The sequence below is a fragment of the Homo sapiens genome, chromosome 16 (genome assembly GCF_000001405.40).
Source record: "Homo sapiens chromosome 16, GRCh38.p14 Primary Assembly".
In the NCBI taxonomy this organism is placed as follows: domain Eukaryota; kingdom Metazoa; phylum Chordata; class Mammalia; order Primates; family Hominidae; genus Homo; species Homo sapiens.
In genome coordinates, this window is record NC_000016.10 from 75,012,859 (window position 1) to 75,036,461 (window position 23,603).

At 42.2% G+C, this 23,603-nt stretch overlaps 1 protein-coding gene across 3 annotated transcripts in view, besides 1 other annotated feature; it reads left to right on the forward strand.

Moving 5' to 3' along the window:
• Window positions 1-23,603, forward strand: part of ZNRF1 (zinc and ring finger 1) — a 111,971-nt gene that overhangs the window by 13,835 nt on the left and 74,533 nt on the right. The window lies entirely within an intron of this gene.
• Window positions 17,021-17,160: an enhancer, noted in NCBI's record as "active region_11116". NCBI's record gives its function as "activates an Ori minimal core promoter by ATAC-STARR-seq in GM12878 lymphoblastoid cells {active_cell/tissue: GM12878}" and the evidence as "EXISTENCE:reporter gene assay evidence [ECO:0000049][PMID:35858748]".

Below are 23,603 nucleotides of genomic sequence, written 5' to 3' on the forward strand. Positions count from 1 at the left end.
GGCTTTGTACTTTTCTTCAAAGCCTGTTACCGGTTCCAGGTCTCCAGAGCTCAATAAAGGGGAAACAGGAAGTGAGCATTTGATGCATAAGAGCCAGCAAAACATAATAAAGGGCACAGGCATGGAACCAGGAGAGAGAATTGTGGGAGTGAGTTTTCTTGAAGGCATCAGTTCTGTAGGATTAGAGATACATCCTTCAACAATGACTTTTAACTCCTTCAAACAAGGAAAAAGCAATTAGGAACCTCTGTTCAGAAAGGACCAATTTTTCTTAGGTTATATAGTAGAGGTTCAACACTTTCATATGACAGCATACAAGTAATTATAAAGTATCTTTTGCCTAAGGAGTTCAGAACACAGAGAAAAGTGATGATCACCTTTATAAAGGAGTAAGAATTACTTCTCTGTCTCTTTACTTGAGGGCCCACAGGGTAAGTCTTATCATGAGTTCCAGCCTGGAGCCCTGACTCTTACTTTTTCTGTCCATTCAATTTTTTTTTTTTTTCCGAGATGGAGTCTCACTCTGTCGCCAGGCTGGAGTGCAGTGGCGTGATCTCAGCTCACTGCAACCTCTGCCTCCCGGGTTCAAGCGATTCTTCTGCCTCAGCCTCCCGAGTAGCTGGGACTGCAGGTGCATGCCACCATGCCTAGCTAATTTTTGTATTTTTAGGAGAGATGGGGTTTTACCATGTTAGCCAGGATGGTCTCAATCTGTTGACCTCGTGATCCACCCGCCTTGGCCTCCCAGAGTGCTGGGATTACAGGCGTGAGCCACCGCGCCAGGCCTGTCCATTCAGTTTTAGTAATGAACTCTGAAGTTTTAGTCCTGCGGTTACTAAATGGAAAAGTCAGAGATTTGTGCTATTTCAATTTGGTTCACTTGTACATTTCAGGAACTCAAATAGCTGTGTGACTCTGAAAATGGGAACTCTTTGGTGTCTTGGAATTATTTATTTATTTATTTTTAATTTAATTTTATTTTTTTTTTCGAGACGGAGTCTCACTGTATCGCCCAGGCTAGGGGGCAGTGGTGTGGTTTTGGCTCACTGCAACCTCTGCCTCCCAGGTTCAAGTAATTCTCCTGCCTCAGCCTCCCGAGTAGTTGGGATTACAGGCAAACACCACCACACCCGACTAATTTTTTGTATTTTTAGTAGAGGCCGTGTTTCACCGTGTTGGCCAGGCCGGTCTTGAACTCCTGACCTCAGATGATCCACCCGCCTTATCTTCCCAAAGTGCTGGGATTAGAGGTGTGAGCTGCCGCGCCTAGCCTGGAATTATTTTTTTAAAAATGAAATATTTTAGGCATTCAAGAAAGATAATATGCTCACCTACCAAGCAGATTATAATAACTAAAACATTACAGGTATAATTGTATGTACCCTGGCTTATTCCCATTTTCTCTTTCCCTCTCCAAAGGGAACGACTGCCCTCACTCGTGTTTTTCCCGCCATATATGTTCATGCTTTTGCTCCCTGTAGCTATCCAAAACACCATTTGTTTTCTGTAAACTTCATGTAAACTGTATAGACATGGAAGGAGAAAGATATTATGAGGTGTGTGTGTGTATATATGCTACCTCAAAATGGAGGTAGTATATAAATTCATTTTACTACTTATTGCTATAGCACATTTATTTTCACAGCTATACTCTATTGATCTATTTATTGATCTATTGATCTATTCTGTTATCAGTGGATATTAAAGTTATTTTTAGTTTTTGAAAATTTTGTTTCATTACATACGTGAATGAGTTTTTCTAGGGTACATCCTTAGTCATGAAATAGTGGGGTTACAGGGTATGTGTATGTGTGCATGCGTGCATGTGTGTGTATCTTCAACTCATAATTAAATATTGCCCAGTAAATCCCCAATGTGCTTATACCAGTTTACACTCCTGAAATAACATATTTTTGCTTGTTCTGTGTCCTTGCCAAAATTTGATATTGTCATACCTTAATTTTTGCCAAGCTCTAGTGGGTATAAATAGTATAATATTGTGATTTTATTTGTTATTTATATATTTGATAATATATTTATCTATAATTAATGTATTAATATTGTATGTTTAATCATTGTGTTTCTTCTGTGAAATACTTGTTCATGTCTTTGATTCATGTTTATATTGGGTGGTTTAACTGTTTCTTACTGGTTTGTACGAATTTGTTTTTGTTTTGTCTGTGGATAATAATTCTTTGTTGTCATATGTAATGTAGATGTGTCTTCTCTCAGTTTGTGGCTTATCTCTTTATTCTCTTTGTGATTTCTTATGGTTACTTAATTTTGAAATAACTGAATATTCAAGTATTTTCTCTTATGGCTTATGCATTTTATGTGTTAAGAAATATTTTATTTACCTGAGGTCATAAAGATGTTATGTTTTCTTCTAAAAGTTTTAAAAATTTGCACTTTGTATTTAAATCCTTAATCCATGGGTAATTAAAAAAAAGGTTTATTGGCCGGGCGAGGTAGCTCATGCCTGTAATCCCAGCACTTTGGGAGGCCGAGGCGGTTCGAGACCAGCTTGACCAACATGGACAAACCTCATCTCTACTAAAAATACAAAATGAGCTGGGCGTGGTGGCACATGCTTGTAATCCCAGCTACTCAGGAGGCTGAGGCAGGAGAATCGTTTGAACCTGGGAGGTGGAGGTCGTGGTGAGCCGAGATTGCACCATTGCACTCCAGCCTGGGCAACAAGAGTGAAATTCTGTCTTTAAAAAAAAATCGTGTATTTAGTCTCAAGACAGGATCTCACTCTGTTGCCCAGGCTGGACTGTAGTGGCGCCATCACCGCTTACTGCAGCCTGAAACTCCTGGAGTCAGATAGTCCTCCCACCTCAGTCTCCTGGGTAGCTGGGACTACAGGTGTGCACCGCCATATCCGACTGATTCAAAGTACTGGGATAATAGACGTGAGCCACAGCTCCCAGCCTATAATTAAATTAGAATGGGGCAAGATAGGGATATATATATTTTTCCATATGTGAATAACCAGCTCTCTCAGCAGCATTTGAGGAGTAGTAAAGTCATCTATCCTTGTGCTAATACGCTTTTCTTTTCTTTTTTTTTTTTTTTTGAGACGGAGTGTTGCTCTGTCCACCCAGGCTGGAATGCAATGGCGCGATCTCCTCTCACTGCAAGCTCCGCCTCCCGGGTTCATACCATTCTCCTCCCTCAGCCTCCCGAGTAGCTGGGACTACAGGCGCCTGCCACCACACCCAGCTAATTTTTTGTATTTTTAGTAGAGACGGGGTTTCACCGTGTTAGCCAGGATGGTCTTGATCTCCTGACCTCGTGACCCGTCCACCGCCTCGGTCTCCCAAAGTGCTGGGATTACAGGCATGAGCCACCGCGCCCGGCCGCTAATACTCTTTTATTTTTATTTTTTTATTTTTGAGACGGAGTCTCACTCTGTCGCCCAGGCTGGAGTGCAGTGGCGTTATCTCGGCTCACTGCAACCTCCACCTCCCGGGTTCAAGCAATTCTCCCACCTCAGCCTCCCGAGTAGCTGGGATTACAGGCACACGCCACCACACCCTACTAATTTTCTGTAGTTTTAGTAGAGACATGGTCTCACCATGTTGGCCAGGCTGGTCTTGTACTCCTGACCTCAAGTGATCTGCCTGCCTTGGCCTTCCAAAGTGCTGGGATTACAGGCTTGAGCCACTGCACCCAGCCTATTTTTATTTTTTGAGACAGAGTCTTGCTCTGTCACCCAGGCCGGAGTGCAGTGGCCTGATCTCGACTGACTGCAACGTCTGCCTCCCGGGTTCAAGCAATTCTCATGCCATAGCCTCCAGAGTAGCTGGGACTACAGGCGTCTGTCACCATGCCTGGCTTTTTTTTTTTTTTTTTTTTGTATGAGTAGAGATGGGGTTTCACCATGTTGGTCAGGCTGGTCTCGAACTCCTGACCTCAGGTGATTCACCTGCCTCGGCCTCCCAGAGTGCTGGGATTACAGGCGTGAGCCACCGCGGCCGGCCTACTGTTTTATTTACTATCGTTTTGTAATAGGTCTTGCTACATGGAAGGGCAAAACTGTGTTGGCTAACTGAATCTTTCTAAGGGACAAATAAGGGAATCCAGATAGAATAAACACAGTGAAGTACAGAGTACCAGGAACTGCTCTGTTTAAAGCTGGTATTCTTTTTTAATGATAGGACATCTGGCAAACCCACCCTAATGGGCAGTTTCATTTTTTTCCCTACTATATTGCACAAACAATAACATTTCCTGATGTCTTTGTATTGCAAACAGCAGAGTAAACAGTTCTGTATGTTACAGACAACAACAGTAAAAACAACAAAAACTGGTTAGCTATTTTTGGCACTTTGTGCTTCCAGATAAATTTTAGAATCAGCTTTGTTAACTTTCTGTGAGGAGAAAAAACTGTTAGGATATTTATTAGAATTAAATTGAGTTTATCAATAAGCCATTTTTGTAAATTTGGGCTTATCCATGAATCTGATAGAATTGATTTACAGATATAAAAATAAAAATTTTAAACATTTTATTTACATTTAAAATTTTTGGAAATAATTTCAGACTTACAGAAAAGTTGCAGAACTTATACAAATAAATATTACATATCCATCTCCCAGAATTCTCAAAGGTTATCAGAAAGATAAATCATTGACATCCATTATGTTCTTGAGTCTGGAAAGCAGCTTAAGATCTTAATAAATACAACTTTTCAAGTTTAAGAAATCTATATTGATCTGCTCCTGGGAATTGGAGAGCCATGTGATCTTAAAAGTGACATGGTGTCACTTAGACTAGGCCTAAAACTGAGATCTCCTTTAATCATTGTTGGTCTGTATCCTTATGTGAACAGAAATAAATCCACTGCCACTCTCTGCTCCCAAGGTGCTTGGATCCAATCTGTTGAAAGAAGGGCTTCTTAGACAGTTGTAGGGTAGATAATTCAAATCAAGTTGGCATCAGGATGACACAAGAATGGCTTCTGGAAGTTTGGCTCAGCTGAGCCAGAGATGCCTTTATTGGAGGAATGGGACACCCTCTCTTGGGAGAGACAGTATAGGGTAGTAGTTAAGGTCACAGGCTTGGCACCAGACTGTCTTTGGTGTGAATCCCAGTGTTGCTAATTTTTGGTTTTGGAAGCTTGGGCAAGTGACCTAACAACCTGTGCCTTAATTTCTTTACCTCTAAAGTGAAGCTAACAATAATAACAGTGTCTATCATATAGGACTCATATGAATCAAATGAGTTTGTAGCATATCCACATCACTCACAACAGTGCCCAGCAGGTAGTAAGTGATCAGTAATGTAAGCTGTTAATATTTAATGTCACTGGATAAAGCTTTATGATTTTTTTGAAGATCTTGAATTCCTTTTGTTAGGATACCCTATAGTTTTGGTCCTTACTGTTAATAGTAGCTTTTAAAATTGTTTATAATTGTTTCGGGTTTCTTGTTATGCTCTTGTAGGTTTCATAGTTTTAATGAGAAATATCGACAGAAAATTCAGAGAATCACACCCTTTGCAAATAATGACTGTTTTGTTTCCTCTTTTGTAATCCTCTTTTGTGTTACTTTTCTTTCTTATTTTAAGATTGCTGGCTAGTTCCTCCAGTAAAAATCGTATTAGAATCTATGATCATGGGAATCCTTATTTTTCTCCTGCTTTTTTTTAAAGGGAATGTTTCCTGCTTTTGGAAGCATCACATATGTTTTTGGTATATTGCCTTTATTCTCTTTTATTCCTACTTTGCTAAATTATCACAAACAGCAATTTTATCAACAGTTTTCCTTGTATTTATTCAGATGATCATCTGGGCTTTCTCCTTTCAGTTGTAAATGATTTGAATTATGTTAATAGATTTTCTAATGTTAAATTATCCTTATATTCTTGAAATTAATCCTGCTTGGTTGTGATGTATTTTTTTAATACATTTCCAGATTTAATACGTTAATATTCTCCTTTGGATTTTTGCACATATGTCATAAAATTTCACTCATAATTTTGTTATACTGTCTTTTTCTTCTCTTACTAAGATTAATAAGGCAAGGCTTGGTGGCTCACGCCTGTAATCCCAGCACTTTGGGAGGCTGAGGCAGGCGGATCATTTGAGTTCAGGAGTTCAAGACCAGCCTGGCTAACATGATGAAACCCTGTCTCTACTGAAAATATAAAAGTTAGCCGGGCGTGGTGGCGCGTGACTGTAATCCCAGCTACTCAGGAGGTTGAGGCAGGATGACTGCTTGAACCCAGGAGGCGGAGGTTGCAGTGAGCTGAGATGGTGTCACTGCATTCCAGCCTGGGAGACAGAGTGAGACGTCTCAAAAAACAAACAAAAAGATTAATATAGCTTTTTTTTTGGTAGAGACTACTATGGGTTTTTTTTTTGTAGAGACTACTGTGTTGCTCAGGCTGGTCGTGAACTCCCAGTCTCAAGCGATCTTCTCACCTTGGCCTCCCAAAGTGCTGAGAGTACAGGTATGAGTCACCATGCCTGGACAAAATACAGCTTTTTATTTATTTTCTTGAGACAGGGTCTTCCCATGCTGGAGTGCAAAGACATAACTGTAGTATTTTCAAATTTTTTTTAAGTTGGCCTCTAACTTAATTGCATGATAATCACAGAACAGTCTGTATGATACTGATTGTTTCGTTTTTATTTATACTTAATTTGTGGCATACTACACAGTCAGTTTTCATAAATATTTCATTTGTACTTTAGAAGTTTGTATAACAACTGTTGGGTGAGGGGGTTGGGGAACGCAGAAAAATAAAAATGTTGGGTGAAGTTTTATTCTGTATGTCCTTACATCAAGCTTATCAGTTATGTTGTCCAAATCTTCCATATTTTACCAACTTTTGATTTTTGTTTTGTTCTGTTTTGTTTTGTTTGTTTGTTTGTTGAGACAGGGTCTTGCTTTGTTGCCCAGGCTGGAGTGCAGTGGTGCAGTCGCGGCTCACTGCAGCCTCAAACTCTTGGACTCAAGCGATCCTCCTGCCTCAGCCTCCCGAGTAGCTAGAACCACAGGCACACACCACCACACCCTGCTAATTTTTGTGTTTTTTATAGAGATGGGGGTTCGCCATGTTGCCCAGGCTGGGCTCAGGCGATCCTCCCACCTTGGCCTCCCAAAGTGCTGGGATTACAGGTGTGAGCCACCGCGCCCAGCCAGGTGTTCTTGATTTAACAATTCCAGAGAGAACTATGTTAAAGTTTTTTTTTAATGACTGAATTTGTGAACTTCTCTTCATAATTTTGTCAAACGTGTCTGCATATAATTTGAAGTTCTCTTTAGAATTGTTTCCTAGAGAATTGTAGAGAGCATCTTTATCCCTAACAGTACTTTTTCTCATGGTCTTTTTTTGTCTGGTATTAATGTCAGCTTTCTTTTTGTAAATATTTGCCTGCTACATCTTTTCTTATCCCTTTTCTTTTTCTCTATGTCCTAATGTCTTAGGTGTATCTCCTGTGAATGACATATAGTTGGATTTTTTTCCAGCCTATTTTGAGACTGTCTTTTGATTGGCATGTTTAACCCATTTAAAAGTATTATGATAGCAATTGTGTATTATCTTAATATCTCATTTGATACCTTATGTAATTTATTTAATATCATTAAATACATTATTATTTCATATCTTACTTTGTGCTATTGACCATGTTTTGTTTGCATTTTTCTCCTTTTCAGTCTTTTCTTTTCTTTTCTTTTCTTTTTTTTTGAGATGGAGTCTCGCTGTGTCACCCAGGCTGGAGTTCAGTGGCGCGATCTTGGCTCACTGCAGGCCCCGCCTCCCAGGTTCACGCCATTCTCTTGCTTCAGCCTCCCAAGTAGCTGGGACTACAGGCGCTCGCCACCACACCCAGCTAATTTTTTTGTATTTTTAGTGGAGACAAGGTTTCACCGTGTTAGCCAGGAAGGTCTCGATCTCCTGACCTCATGATCCGCTGCCCTCGGCCTCCCAAAGTGCTGGGATTACAGGCGTGAGCCACCGCGCCCGGCCCCTTCAGTCTTTTCTTAGAAAGGGTTTCATTATTCTACCATTTGGAAACTTTCAGTTCTGTTACAGGCTACTCTTAAATTTTTGGCTTGCATGCTTCATTAAAATCTTAAATCAATATCTCTACTCTCTTCCCAAATAGAAATCCACAGTTTGTCTTACACATTGCTGTGGATCGGTATTACAATTCTACCTTGTTTTGTTTGTTTGTTTGTTTTTGAGGTGGAGTTTTGCTTTTGTTGCCCAGGCTGGAGTGCAATGGGGCGGTCTCAGCTCAGTGCAACGTCCACCTCCCGGGTTCAAGTGATTCTCCTGCCTCAGCCTCGCAAGTAGCTGGGATCACAAGTGTGTGCCACCATGCCGGGCTAATTTCTGTGTTTTTAGTAGAGACTCTTTCACCACGTTGGCCAGGCTGGTCTCAAACTCCTGACCTCAAGTGATCCATCTGCCTCGGCCTCCCACGATGCTGGGATTACAGGCGTGAGCCAGGCGCCTGGCCTTCCCCTTTGCTTTTATACCCTGGAATTAGTTGTTGCTATTCTTATTTGATGAAGTCTGCTTATTTGAATTCACTCACCTGCTTGCCAACTTTTTTGCCTTCCCTTCCTTCTTTTATCATACTTCATCCTTTTGAGTTAAATTTCCTTCTTCCAGAGGTAGGCTTTAACACTGTTTTTTAGTGAGAGTCTATTGGTGCTAAACTCTTTTTGCTTACCTAAAAGTGTTTTTATTTGTCATAACCATTGGATAATTTAGCTAGTTATAAAAGTCTGGGTTGGCAGTTACTGTTTCTCAGCAATTAGATGATGTTATTGTGTTTCATTATCTTCTAGCTTTTGATATTACTGCATTTGAAAAGTCTTCTCAACTCTTAGAGTTAATGTTTTTTTCTCTTGGCTGCTTTATCTTGTCTTTACTCATGGTGCTCTCCAAATTTACTGTCATATGTTCCGGATTTAATTTATTTTTATACATCTGTTTGCTATTTGTCCTTGAATATCAAATATCATGTGTTTCACAGCACCTAAGAAATTATCATCTAGTTATCTCTTCAAATTTTACCTTTCTTTTATTCTTTCCCATCCCTCCTTTTGAAAATCCTAGAAATTTTATATTGGGCCTTCTGTCTGCCTTCCTGTTTCTTAAACTCTTTTGTATTTTCCAGTTCTTTATATGCTTTACTATGGGTAATTCCTTATCTCTGTTTTCAGTACACTAATCCTTCCGTCCGTCCATCCATCCGTCTCGCTCTGTTGCTCACGCTGGAGTGGGCTGGCATGGTGGTGGGCACCTGTAATCCCAGCTACTTGGGAGGCTGAGGCAGGAGAATCACTTGGACCCAGGAGGCGGAGGTTGCAGTGAGATGAGATCATGCCACTGCACTCCAGCCTGGGTGACAGAGCGAGACTCTGTCTCAAAAATTTTTTTAAAAAATAATTAATTGGCTGAGCGAGGTGGCTCACGCCTGTAATCCCAGCACTTTGGGAGGCTGTGGCGGGTGGATCACGAGGTCAGGAGATCGAGACCATCCTGGCTAACATGGTGAAACCCCGTCTCTACTAAAAATACAAAAAAAAATTAGCCAGGCATGGTGGCGGGCACCTGAAGTCCCAGCTACTCAGGAGGCTGAGGCAGGAGAATGGCGTGAACCCGGGAGGCGGAGCTTGCAGTGAGCCGAGATTGTGCCACTGCACTCCAGCCTGGGCGACAAAGCGAGACTCCGTCTCAAAAAAAAAACAAAACAAAAAACACAAATTAATTAAAATAAATAAATAAATTTAAATTAGTGAAAATTAATGAACAAAATTTAAATTCCATTTCTGAGTTACTCTAGCCACATTTTCAGTGCTCGGTAACCACAAATGGTTAGTGACTGCTGTCATTGGAACATTTCCATCATTGCAGAAAGTGCTGTTGGACAGTGCTGCTCAAAACTCTTCCGTAGTGCTCTTATAGTACAGAGAGAATCGGTAAATGTGTAATTTCAGAAAATGGATCAAGTGAACTTGCCCTTGTGCTGAGAGTCTAGGAGGTTCTCTTTAGCATGATACCATTCTGCATCAACTATGTTTAGGAAGAATTCAGAGACGGTGTTGCATTCTTAGGATGATTTATGGGATCATTGGTGATCCCAAGCTGACTTTTCTTTCCTGTAATTTGGTAATTGGAAGAGGAGAAACCAGGTAAGCAGGAACCCCCAATGTTGAATACGCTTTGGGGAAAATGGAGAAAAATTTCTACATTGATTTTATGCAGCTCTGTTTAATCTGAGACTAGAGAGGATGGGTTTGTGAGGTGACTGGAGAAAAACAGCTTAAGTTCTTATGACTTGAAATTTGACTCAAGTTGGAAATTCCTTGTAATTAACTCATCTTTTCTCTCCACCCCCTTAAATTGCCATCTCATTCTCCTTTGAGTTGCTATAGAACAGTTAAAGATTCTCAAGAAAAGATACCTTCCCCTACCTTACCCCCCACATTCACATACCCACACCTTCTTTAAATAAAGCATCATTTAACAGTGACTGGACTCCAGATACACCAAGGTTAAGAAAGTCACACCAGGCCGGACGCAGTGGCTCACGCCTGTAAACCTGGCACTTTGGGAGGCCAAGGTGGATGGATCACCTGACGTCAGGAGTTGGAGACCAGCCTGGCCAACATGGCCAAACCCCGTCTCTACTAAAAATACAAAAATTAGTTGGGCGTGGTGGCAGGCACCTGTAATCCCAGCTACTCGGGAGGCTGAGGCAGGAGAATCTCTTGAACCCGGGAGGTGGAGGTTGCAGTGACCTGAGATCACGCCACTTCACTCCAGCCTGGGTGAAAGAGCGAAACTCCATCAAACAAACAAACAAACAAAAAAAACAAAAAAAAAGGTCACACCAGCCTGGGCCCCAACAAGCTATGTAGGAGGGAAGAGCCACTGACCCCCAACCTTTTTCTTTGGCCATGGCTGACACTGTTATAATTTACCTCACTGTTTATTATGGAGCCCTACAGGGGCTCAGAATCCTTTTCTTTTTTTATTTTATTTTCTTTTTTTTTTTTGAGACAGAGTCTTACTCTGTCACCCATGCTGGAGTGCAGTGGTGTGATCTCGGCCCACTGCAATCTCCACCTCCTGGGTTCAAGTGATTCTCCTGACTCAGCCTCCCCAGTAGCTAGGACTACAGGTGCGTGCCACCACACCTGGCTAATTTTTTATTTTTAGTAGAAACGGGGTTTCACCATGTTGGCCAGGCTGGTCTCGAACTCCTGACCTCAGGTGATCCACCTGCCTTGGCCTCCCAAAGTGCTGAGATTACAGGCATGAGCCACCGCACCCAGCCCAGAATCCTTCTTAACACAGTACTCCAAGTGCCCACAGTCCATACTAACTGCTGGAGTTGATGTGTGAGACTAAGCCTGTTTACTGTCCTTGGCTTAGGGAATTGAGGCTCGGAGTTTACTGTTAAGAGAAGGCATATTGTTACTGATTGCAGAGTACTTACTATGAGCCAAATATGTTAGTTGAGAACGTTTTTTTAAAAAGTCTATTGTGAGTGTTTATTACCTATGATACGGAGTTAGGTGCCTAGTAAAAGTTCAGTAAATATACACATGAAGAAGTACAGTAATCATAGGAATAAAGATAAAGGTAGTTTGTGTTGGAAAAGAGTTGGGTTACTTCTTTCTGGTGATTTTTGTAGAGTTGTCAGCAGTGGCTTGGGATTGACTTTCTGCAGGAAATTAATCTCAAACAAAAAAGATGGCTTGTAAGATGACAGGAAGGGGTTTAGAAAGAGGCAGCATTTGCAGAAGGAAGAGGAAGAAGTTACAAAAGAAGGAAAGCCCTGGAGCAGGTGAGGGAGTTGGAAAGGCTGAACTCGCACATGCTGTGCAGAAGCAGAAGACAACAGACCTTTGTGGTTTCCAAATCAGTATTTTCTGTCTTTTAAGCAAATCTTTTAAGAAACAAAAGTTCTTCCTGCTTCTTTCGTGGTCACAAAAATAATCAGAATATTCACTGTGAAGATTTTAAACATTAATGTAGAAAGCGGAAGTTTCCCCCATGATCCCTCTGGTGTATATGTCTCCAAATTTTTGCCTCTGGATGAATGGGTGTGTGTAAAGCCGTAGAAAGCACATTATGCTTGTTTCACAACTTCTCTTTCTTATTTAATGTCCTCTTCATTGTTTCATGTTGTTCCATGTACATGTGTGGATTTTATTATTTTATTTAATTAATTAATTAATTTATTTTTTGAGACAGAGTTGCACTCTGTTGCCCAGGCTGGAGTGCAGTGGCGCCATCTCGGCTCTCTGCAAGCTCTGCCTCCCGGGTTCATGCCATTCTCCTGCCTCAGCCTCTTGAGTAGCTGGGACTACAGGCGCCCGCCACCACACCCGGCTAATTTTTTTGTATTTTTAGTAGAGATAGGGTTTCACAGTGTTAGCCAGGATAGTCTCGATCTCCTGACCTTGTGATCCGCCCATCTCGGCCTCCCAAAGTGCTGGGATTACAGGACTGAGCCACCACGCCTGGCCTATTTTATTTTGTTTTTGTTTCTGTTGTAATTTCTGGAAACTTGTACCTGGAAGTGAAATCTATTCACAGCACACTTCTCCCTGACTATCCCCCCAAAATTGTGCCCCAAAATGCTTATACCTGTTTAGCTCTTTGTTAGGGACCATATCTACCATTTGGCCACAATTTCTCTATGAGTTGTTATAAGACTACCACAGGAAAGATCGTATAGCCCCTCCTATAAACTTAGTTTGTTCTTAGGGACCAATTAAATAATAAGCCAGCAAAGAGCTCGACCCCCACTGCAGAGGACATTTCGTAAGAGGGGATTCATAGGAGCCCCACTTTCTCTTTCCCAGCCCTCTGTTCTGAAGAATCTGAATGTGTCTAACTTGTTTCAGAGTTCACTGTTTCTTTCCATTTTTCTTTCTGATGGGATGATTGCTTCTGCCAATGGCTAGACTAGAGCATAAGAAATTTTTATCTTGGATCGACATCTGAGAGCTCTAAAAGAAAACACCAGGCAGTGGGGGGACGGGGTGGGTGGGATTTTAAGTCAGGCCTGCAAGAGGCAGCTAGTCATGGGTCTGCACTCAGCCTGGTGCTTTTGCTTCCTTGGGGTGCTGCCAACAGAAACCGTTAAATAGGCAGCATGCTGGTGAGGCCTATACATCTGTCTGGGATAGGATCCCACAGAGGGGTCTTGTGTGGGATTGATCCAATAACCCCATAGTTTGAGTCAGGTGACAGGTCAGCAGGGGCCTGAATTTTCCTCCCTCTTCTAGTGATCTGCAGAATAATCAAATGACCAATAACTAAGCATCTTATTTGAGTTGTAAAAGAACTCTCATCTGTGTTTAAACGAACATTTAAAATATTCCTAAAAAAGAAAAACATTCTAAGGTTATTTATTTTTTTTTTTAAGCTGTTGCTGTTACATGTGACTGAGCAACTGTGTGGGCAAGAGTAAAAGTACTGGCATAGAACCTGGAAACAAGAGTTTAGAATGAAGTTGAACCCATTACCCAACAGCAAGGTCAATGTTTATAGCGTTCCCCTGAGCTCAGAGCCCTTTTGGATGACGTGTCATTTCCTTCATGCCTCTAGAAAGTGGAGAAACAGGAGCAGATTAGGAAAAGTACTTGGAAAAATTCTGTAATGATTTGAGCCTTAGCCAGGCTTAATACTTCAGTGTTTGAACTCTTCCCTACTGAGACTTTTGCTTTCATAGCAGTTTTTCTTGGTTATTAAAAAAATATATACAACAAAGTAGATCGTAACAGTAGTATGTAATAAGAATATTTCTGGCCAGGCGCAGTGGCTCACCCCTGTAATCCCAGCACTTTGGGAGGCAGAGGCAGGCAGATTACTTGAGGCCAGGAGTTCGAGACCAGCCTGGCCAACGTGGTGAAACCCCGTCTCTACTAAAAATGCAAAAATTAGCCTGGCGTGGTGGTGCGTGCCTTTAATCCCAGCTACTCAGGAGGCTGAGGCACAAGAATCACTTGAACCCAGAGGCGGCACTCCAGCCTGGGCAACAGAATGAGACTGTCTCAAAAAAAAAAAGAAAGAAAGAAAAAGAATATCACTAATAACAGACATTTATTTCATCTTATTAAGTGCCCGGCACAGTTCTAAATGCTTAACATTCAATTATTGAATCCTCACCCCTTGAGGTGATTCCTGTTAACATTCCTATTTCACAGATAAGGAAACCAAGACCCAGCGGTTAGGGAACTCAGCCAGTGTTACATAGCTAGAAAGTGGTGTGGCTCTAGCCATGTATAGTGGCTCCTTCCTGTAATCCCAGCACTTTGGGAGGCTGAGGCAGGAGGATTGCATGAGCCCAGGAGGTCAAGGCTGCAATGAGCTGTGATCACACCACTGCACTCCAGCCTGGGCAACATAGCAAGACCCTGTCTCTTAAAAAAAAAAGAAAATAAAAGTGCTGTGGCTCTAATAAATGGTATCTCATGTTGTTATTAAATTGCAATCAGTTTGGCCATCAAAAATTGAATTGTGGGAATCCTTTTTAGCCCTATAGCTGGGCCTATGACATTCTTTGTAGTTTTGTAAAATGGTGGAGTAGATTTTCTTACCTTGTCAGCCATAAGAGTTGCCCCCTGTGACTCCATTTATCTGCTGTTTATAATATCAGTCCTTTCAACCATCTTTGACTCCAGCAGGAACTACAGCCCATTGAACCTATTTTCTTCTCCCTTTCCCTCACGCCCTCATGCCTGTACTTTTCTCCTTAAACAACTTAAATTCCATGGTCAGTCATTATAATGACTGCCTCATGTACTACACTCTCAATCCTCTTCCCCTCTTTTGCCTTGTCACACTTGCTTGGCTAAATCACAACTCTGGTTAAATCCAAATCTCTGCCTACTTTGTGGGTGTGCCCCTGGGTTAGAAGAAACACTGAGCACATTCGCTGTCCTCACTCTTAATTCATGATTACTAACCTTAAACAGGCCCCTAATGCTGTCTGGGAATCCTGCTGTATTTCCACAGTTCCTTCATTCTCCAGCCTCCTAGAGGACTCTTCCATACTTTCTCCTCTCTTTTAAAAACACCTTTCTTAGCCTTTGTTGATGACCTTCCTATTTCATTGAGAAAACAATGGCACTCGCCACCGTATCCACCCACGTGCTTGTATATCTGCCTTTTCCCCCTTTCCTGTAACTAGGTATGAGTTGTACATGATCCTTGCAAGGGCCAATACCTCCATTTGCAAACAAAATTTCATTCCCACTTCCTGAGTCCATCCAGAGTGCTGCTCCAACCTTCCTCTGCTCTCTGCTAAATATTACCGCTCTAGTGGTACATTCCTATTGGCATACTAACTGCTGCTATTTCTTCCATCTTGAAAACAGGAATAACAAATTAACTTATCATGATTCTACTTCCCCTACAGATACTAGTCCATTCTGGTACTTTTTGTTTTTTGTTTTTTGTTTTTGAGACGGAGTTTCACTCGACGCCCAGGCTAGAGTGCAATGGCGTGATGTCGGCTCACTGCAACCTCTGTCTCCTGGGTTCAAGTGATTCTCCTGCCTCAGCCTCCCAAGTAGCTGGGATTACAACCATGTGCCATCACACCTGGCTAATTTTTTGTGTTTTTAGTAGAGATGGGGTTTCACCATGTTGGCCAGGCTAGTCTCGAACTTCTGACCTCAAGTGATCCACCCACCTTGGGCTCCCAAAGTGCTGGGATTATAGGCGTGAGCCTCTGTGCCCGGCCCCTGCTACTTCTTTTAAGACAAAAAGTTCTCAAGAATTCTCTTTTCTTGGTTTTCTGATTTTTCTTCTTCCATCCTCCTTGAATCCACTCCACTCAGGTGTTTGCCCTCATCACTCAATTGAAACAGCTCTTATCAAGGTCACTGAGGACCTTTGTACTGCTAAATCCAGTAGCCTATTGTCAGTTCTCAGTTTGGGAAAAGTGGCTGCATTTTACCCAGCTGGTCATTTCCTTCCCCTTGAAACACTGTCTTCACTGCTTCTAGAATACGATGCTCACTTAGTTTTCTTCCTATCTCTCTCATTGGTTTTATCTCCTTTGCAGATTCCTCTTTATCTCTCTACCTCAAATGTTGAAAGGCACGAAGGCTTAGTCCTTGAACCAACTCTCTTTTTATATATCACAAACTTGGTGAAGTCATTAATATTAGTGGTTGTAAATACAGTGTGTATGCTACATGTCCAGCTTGACTGCAATCTTGACCTTTTTTTTTTTTGCTACAACTCCAGCTTGACTGCAGTCTTGACTTTTTTATTATTTTATTTTATTTTTATTTTTATTTTTATTTTTGAGACGGAGTCTCGTGCTGTCGCCCAGGCTGGAGTGCAGTGGCGCCATCTCAGCTCACTGCAAGCTCCACCTTCCGGGTTCACGCCATTCTCCTGCCTCAGCCACCCAGGTAGCTGGGATTACAGGTGCCCACCACCATGCCCGGCTAATTTTTTTTGTATTTTTAGTAGAGACGGGGTTCTACCATCTTAGCCAGGATAGTCTCGATCTCCTGACCTTGTGATTCGCCTGCCTCGGCTTCCCAAAGTGCTGGGATTACAGGCATGAGCCACCACGCCCGGCTGACCTTTTCTTAAAAAACAAAACAAAAAACTATTATTGGCTGGACTCAGTGGCTCACACTTATAATCCCAGCACTTTGGGAGGCTGAGGCGGGCAGATCACTTGAGGTCAGGAGTTCAAGACCAGCCTGGCCAACATGGTGAAAACCCATCTCTACAAAAAAAATACAAAAATTAGTCATGCATGGTAGCATGTGCCTGTAGCCCCAGCTGAGGCTGAGGCTGAGCTTGGAGAATCGCTTGAACCTAGGAGGCGGAGGTTGCAGTGAGCCAAGATCATGCCACTGCACTCTAGCCTGGGTAACAGAGCGAGACTCCATCTCAGAACAAACAAACAAAAAATTTATTGAGGCTGGGTGTGGGCTGATCACTTGAGGTCAGGAGTTCGAGACCAGCCTGGCCAACATTGTGAAAACCCATTTCTACTAAAACTACAAAAATTAGCCAGGTGAAGAAAAAAAAATTAGCCAGGTGTTGTGTTGTGGTGAATGCTTGTAATCCCAGCTACTCAAGAGGCCAAGGAGGGAAGATTGCTTGAACCCAGGAGGCAGAGGTTGCAGTGACCTGAGAGAGCACCACTGCATTCCAGCCTTGGTGACAGAGCAAGATGCTATCTCAAAAAAAAAAAAAAAAAAAACCTGTTATTGAAATAATTCACATACCATACAATTCACTCATTCAAAGTAAACAGTTGAATGGTTTTTAGTATATTCTGAGAATTGTACAACCATCACCACATTTACCATACTCATGACAGTACAGAAATAAACACATGCATCTATGGTCAACTGATTTTCAACAAGGGTGTCAAGACCATTCAATAGAGAAAGAATAGTGTTTTCAATAGATGCTACTGGGACAACTGAATATCCATATGGAAAAGAATGTGGTTTGGACCCCTACCTCACACCACATACAAAAATTAATTCCAAATGGATCAAAGACCTAAATATAAGAACTAAAACTTTGATCTGCAGTAGCTGGAGGAAAAAAAAAAGAGAGAAATATTTAAAGAAAAAGAGAAAAAAACTATAAAACTCTTAGAAGGAAATGTAGTTGGAAATCTTACTGACCTTGCATTGGGCAGTAGTTTCTTAAATATGACACCAACAGCACAAGCAACACAAGAGAAAAATAATAAATTTTAGAACCTTTTTTAATTAGTCCAAAAAGAAACCCCATAACCATTAGCAGTAGCTCTGTTTTCCTCCATTTTCCCCTACCCAAGACAACCACTAATCCACTTTCTGCCTATGTAAACTTGCCTATTCTGGACATTTTATATAAATGGGATAATATATAACGCATAGCTTTTAGCATCTGGTTTCTTTAAGTTACCATAATGTTTTCAAGGTTCACTCACATTGTAGCATGCAGCACTTTATTCCTTTTTTTTTTTTTTTTTTTTTTGTTAAGACGGAGCCTCGCTCTGTCACCCAGGCTGGAGTGCGGTGGCGTGATTTCGGTTCACTGCAACCTCCGCCTCCCGGGTTCAAGCAATTCTTCCTCAGCCTCCTAAATAGCTGGGACTAGAGGTGTGCACCGCCACGCCTAGCTAATGTTTGTATTTTTAGTAGAGATGGGGTTTCACCACATTAACCAGGCTCGTCTTGAACGCCTGACCTCATGATCCGCCCACCTCAGCCTCCCAAAGTGCTAGGATTACAGGCGTGAGCCACTGCGCCCCACCTGTTTTTTTTTTTTTAGACAGAGTCTTGCTCTGTTGCCCAGGCTGGAGTGAACTGGCACGATCTTGGCTCTCCGCAATCTCCGCCTCCTGGGTTCAAGTCATTCTCCTGCCTCAGCCTCCCAGGTAGCTAGGATTACAGGCGTGCACCACCAAACCCAACTAATTTTTGTATTTTTAGTAGAGAGAGGGTTTCACCATGTTGGTCAGGATGGTCTCTATCTCCCGACCTCGTGATCTGCCTGCCTCAGCCTCCCAAAGTGCTGGGATTACAGGGGAGCCACCGTGCCCGGCCATGTCCAAATTTTTGTGTAGACATTTTCTTGTTTTACTTAAAAAAAAATTTTTTTTCTAAGGTTTTTTGTTTGTTTGTTTGTTTGTTTTGTTTGTTTTGAGAAAGGGTCTCACTTTGTCCCCCAGGCTGGAGAGCAGTGGTGTGATCTCAGCTCACTGCAGCCTGACCTCCAAAGCTCGAGTGATCCTCCCACCTCAGCTTCCCAAGTAACTGGGACTACAGGCGCTTGCCACCATGCCTGGCTAATTTTTTGTATTTTCCATAGAGACAGGGCATGTTGCCCAGGCTGTTCTCGAACTCCTGAACTCAAGCATTCTGCCCATCTCGGCTTCTCAAAGTGTTGGAATTACAGGCGTGAGCCACCACACCCGGCTATATATACCTACGAGTAGAATTGCTCGGTCAGTTCTACTGTGTCGAGTCAATTCTGCCGGATCTACCCGGTAGAAATGCTGGGTAACTTTAATTGAATCTTTTTGAGGAATTGCCAGACTGTTTTCCAAAGGAATTGCACAATTTTATACTCCCACCAACAGTATATAAGGGTTCTGATTCTCCACATCTTTTCCAACACTTATTATTACCTGTCTATTTGATAATAGCAGTCATAGTGGTTCTGATGTGGTATCATTATAGTTTTGATTTGCAAAGGATATTGGGCATCTTTTCTTGTGAGGTTTTTTTTTTTTTTTTTTTTTTTGATACGGAGTCTTGCTCTGTCGCCCAGGCTGGAGTGCAGTGGTACGGTCTCAGCTTACTACACCCTCCGTCTCCTGGGTTCAAGCAATTGTCTCGCCTTAGCCTCCTGAGTAGCTGGGATTATAGGCACCTGCCATCCTGCCTGGCTAAGTTTTGTATTTTTGTAGAGATGGGGTTTCACCATGTTGGCCAGGCTGGTCTTGAACTCCTGACCTCAGGTGATCTGCCCACCTCAGCCTCCCAAAGTGCTGGGATTACAGGCATGAGCCACTGCACCCGGCCTTTTCTTGTTTTTATTGGGTCTTCATATATAGTCCTTGGAGAAATGTCTATGCAAGTCCTTTGTCAATTGACTTTGTCAATTGTCATTGCACTCCAGCCTGGGCAACAAGAGCGAAACTCCATCTCAAAAAACAAACAAACAACAACACAAAGAAAATTAAAGACTTGTGCTGCAGAGGATACTATCTAGAAAATAATAAGACAAGTTACAGAATGGGAGAAAAATTTTGCAAATCATGTTCTGATAAGGAATTAGTATATCTAAAATGTATAAAAATGTCTTACAACTCAACAACCAAAAGACAAACAATTCAATTAAAAAATTTACAAAGGACCAGATGCAGTAGCTCATGCCTATAATACCAGCACTTTGGGAGGCCAAGTCAGGAGGATCACTTGAGACCCAGACCAGCCTGGGCAACACAGCAAGACCCTGTCTCTACAAAAATTAAAAATTAGTTGGGCATGGTGGTATATGCCTGTAGTCCCAGCTACTGAGGAGGCTGAGGCAGGAGGATCACTTGAGCCAAGGTGTTCAAGGCTGTAGTGAGCTGTAAGCATGCTGCTGCACTCCATCTGGGTGACAGAGCAAGACTCCACTGGATTACCATGGAAGGTTTAAGGGTACTATTGGCAATACATGTAGAGTCTATTTCTGGACTTTATTCTGTTTTTCTTTATACGTCTGTCCTTAAGCCAATACCATGTTCCTTTGATTACTGTGGTGTTATAATAAGTCTTGAAATCAAATATTATTATTTGATTTCTTTATTCTTTTTTTAAATTCTTATTTAGGGTATTCTCAGGCTTTCAAATTTCCATATAAAATTTAGAATCACCTTGTTTATTTCTACAAAAAAAAAAAAAAAAGGAATGCTTGCAGGAATTTTGATTGGGATTTTATTGAATTTAAGGATAAAATTGAGGAAAGTTAACATCTTAACAATATTGCAACTTCCAATTCATGAACACGGTATTTCTCTAGCTTCATTTAAGTGCTATTTAATTTTTCTCATCAGTGTTTTATAGTTTTTTTTTTTTTTTTTTTTGAGACAGCGTCTCGCTCTGTCACCCAGGCTGGAGTGCAATGGCGCAATCTTGGCTCACTGCAACCTCTGCCTCCCAAGTTCAAGTGATTCTCCCACCTCAGCCTCCAAGTAGCTGAGATTACAGGCACACCACCATGCCTGGCTAATTTTTGTATTTTTGGTAGAAGCGGGGTTTCCCCATGTTGGCCAGGCTCATCTTGAACTCCTGACCTCAAGTGATCTGTTTCCCTCGGCCTCCCAAAGTGTTGGGATTACAGGCGTCAGCTATTGTGCTTGGCCTATAGTTTTAGAATAAAAGTCTTGTGCACATTTTAAAATATTTACCTCTGAATGATTCTTCTTTGATGTTGTTTAAAGATTGTTAAAATTAATTGTGACAAAATACACTTAGCATAAAAATTACCCTTGGCCAGGTGCAGTGGCTCACGCCTGTAATCCTAGCACTTTGGGAGGCTAAGGTGGGCAGATTGCCTGAGCTCAGGAGTTTGAGACCAGTCTGGGCAACATGGTGAAACCCCGACTCTACTAAAATACAAAAAAAAAAAAAGAAATTAGCCAGGTGTGTTGGTGCACACCTGTAGTCCCAGCTACTTGGGAGGCTGAGCCAGGAGAATTGCTTGAACCCGGGAGGCGGAGGTTGCAGTGAGCGGAGATTGTGCCACTGCACCCCAGCCTCGCGACAGAGCGAGGCTCCGTCTCAAAAACAAAAACAAAAAATTACCCTCAGTTATTTAAAAATGTACAGTTCAGTAGTGTTAAATATATTTACATTGTTATGCTACCAATCCCTAGAACTTTTTCATCTTGCCAAACTATAACTCTGTACCCATTAAACAACTGCTTTCCATTTCCCTCTCCCCTCAGCAACCGCCATTTTATTTTCTATGAGCTTGACCACTCTTAATAACTCATATAAGCAAAATTGTATGGTATTTGTCTTTTTGTGACTGGCTTATTTCACTTAGCGTAACATTCTCAAGATTTATCCATGTTGGAGCAAATGTCAGAATTTACTTCCTTTTTATGTACATAACACATTTTGTTTGTCCCCATTCATGCATTGCATTTATGGACACTTGAGTTCCTTCTGCCTTTGGATATTGTGAACAATGCTGTGAACACGAATATACAAACATCCTTTAAGACCCTGCTTTCCGTTCTTTCGATTTTAACTTGATTAATTTTTTTGAGGCAGTGCCTGGCTCCGTTACCCAGTCTGGAGTACAGTGCATGATCTTGGCTCACTGCAGCCTCTGCCCCCTGGGTTCAAGTGATTCTTATGCCTCAGCCTCCCAAGTAGCTGGGATTACAGGTGTGCACCACTATACCTGGCTAATTTTTGTAATTTTAGTAGAGACAGGGTTTTGCCACGTTGCCCAGGCTGGTCTCAAACTCCTGGCCTCAAGTGATCCACCAGCCTCAGCCTCCCAGAGTGCTTGGATTACAGGTGTGAGCCACTGCGTCCAGTTGGCTTTCAGTTCTTCTGGATACATATACCCAGAAGTGAAATTGCTGGATCATATGGTAATTTTATTTTAAAATTTTTGAGGAACTGCCATAACTTTTTCATAGCAACTGCACCATTTTACCATTTTACATTCTTACTAACAGTGCAGTGCGTGAGTTCCAATTTCTTCATATGCTTGCTGCAATCCCCACCCTCCACCCCCCCTCCCCAGGTTCGAGCTATTCTCCTGCCTCAGCCTCCCAAGTAGCTGGGACTACAGGTGTGTGCACAACTATATTTTGTAATTTTTGTAGTGACAGGGTTTTGCCATGTTGCCTGGGCTGGTCTCCAACTCCTGGGCTCAAGTGATCCTCCTGTCTCAGCCTCCCAAAGTACTAGAATTACAGGCGTGAGCCGCTGCACTGGGCCTTAAAATGTTTTTCTTATAGAAAGTATACATTTGATTTTTCTCTTTTTTGAGACATCTTACTCTGTCACCCAACTGCAGTGATCATGCAATGGTGCGATCTTGTTGCCACCCGCAAATCCGAATGGCTCTGCAGCAACCTCAATTCTTGGCTCCTCAGAAGAAAGAATTCAACTGAGGAGCATAGGCAGAAGGAGAGACTGAAGCAAATTTTAGAGCAGGAGTGAAAGTTTATTAAAAAGCTTTAAAGCAGGAAAGAAGGGAAGTAAAGTACACTTGGAAGAGGGCCAAGTGGGCAACTTGAGAGATCAAATGCACGGTTTGACCCTTTGACTTGGGGTTTTATATGTTGGCATGCTTCGGGGTCTTGTGTTACTTCTCCCTCGATTCTTCTCTTGGGGTTGGCTGTCCGCATGCGCAGTGGCCGCCAACACTTGGGAGGGGCCCCATGCACAGTGTGCTTCCTGAAATTGTGCACATGCCCACTTGAGGCATTCCTTTACCAGCTAAGTGTTCCTAGAGAAAGGTCATAAACTAGTTAAACTCTGCCATTTTGCCTCTTAGTGCTCATGCCTGAGCCCACTCACCCAACTCCTAAGAGCTTATTGGGATCACCAGTTTCAGCTTTTTCTATCTACTGGGAGACTACCGTTCTCTGGCACCAGTTGCGACCAATTATTATTTTAGGGGGACTGCTTAACAACTGCCTGACCATCACCTGATGGTCACCTGACATTCCTGGTTGGGGGTGTGAGGGGACCTCTCCTCCTCTGCTCATGTTTTACTAGCTACCTCCTATAACAATCTCAGCTCACAGCAGCCTTGACCTCCTGGGCTCATGTGATCCTCCTACCTCAGCCTCCTGGGTAGCTGGGATCACAGGCATGTGCCATCACACCTAGCTAATTTTTGTTTATTTTTCGTAGAGATGAGCTCTCCCTATGTTGCCTAGCATGCCAGGCTAATTTTTGTATTTTTTAGTAGAGATGGGGTTTTACCATGTTAGCCAGGCTGGTCTTGAACTCCTGAACCTCAAGTGATTTCCTGTCTCAGCCTCCCAAAGTGCTGAGATTACAGCCGTGAGCCACTACACCGGGCTTGATGTTGCTTTTTAATCCAGACTGACAGTC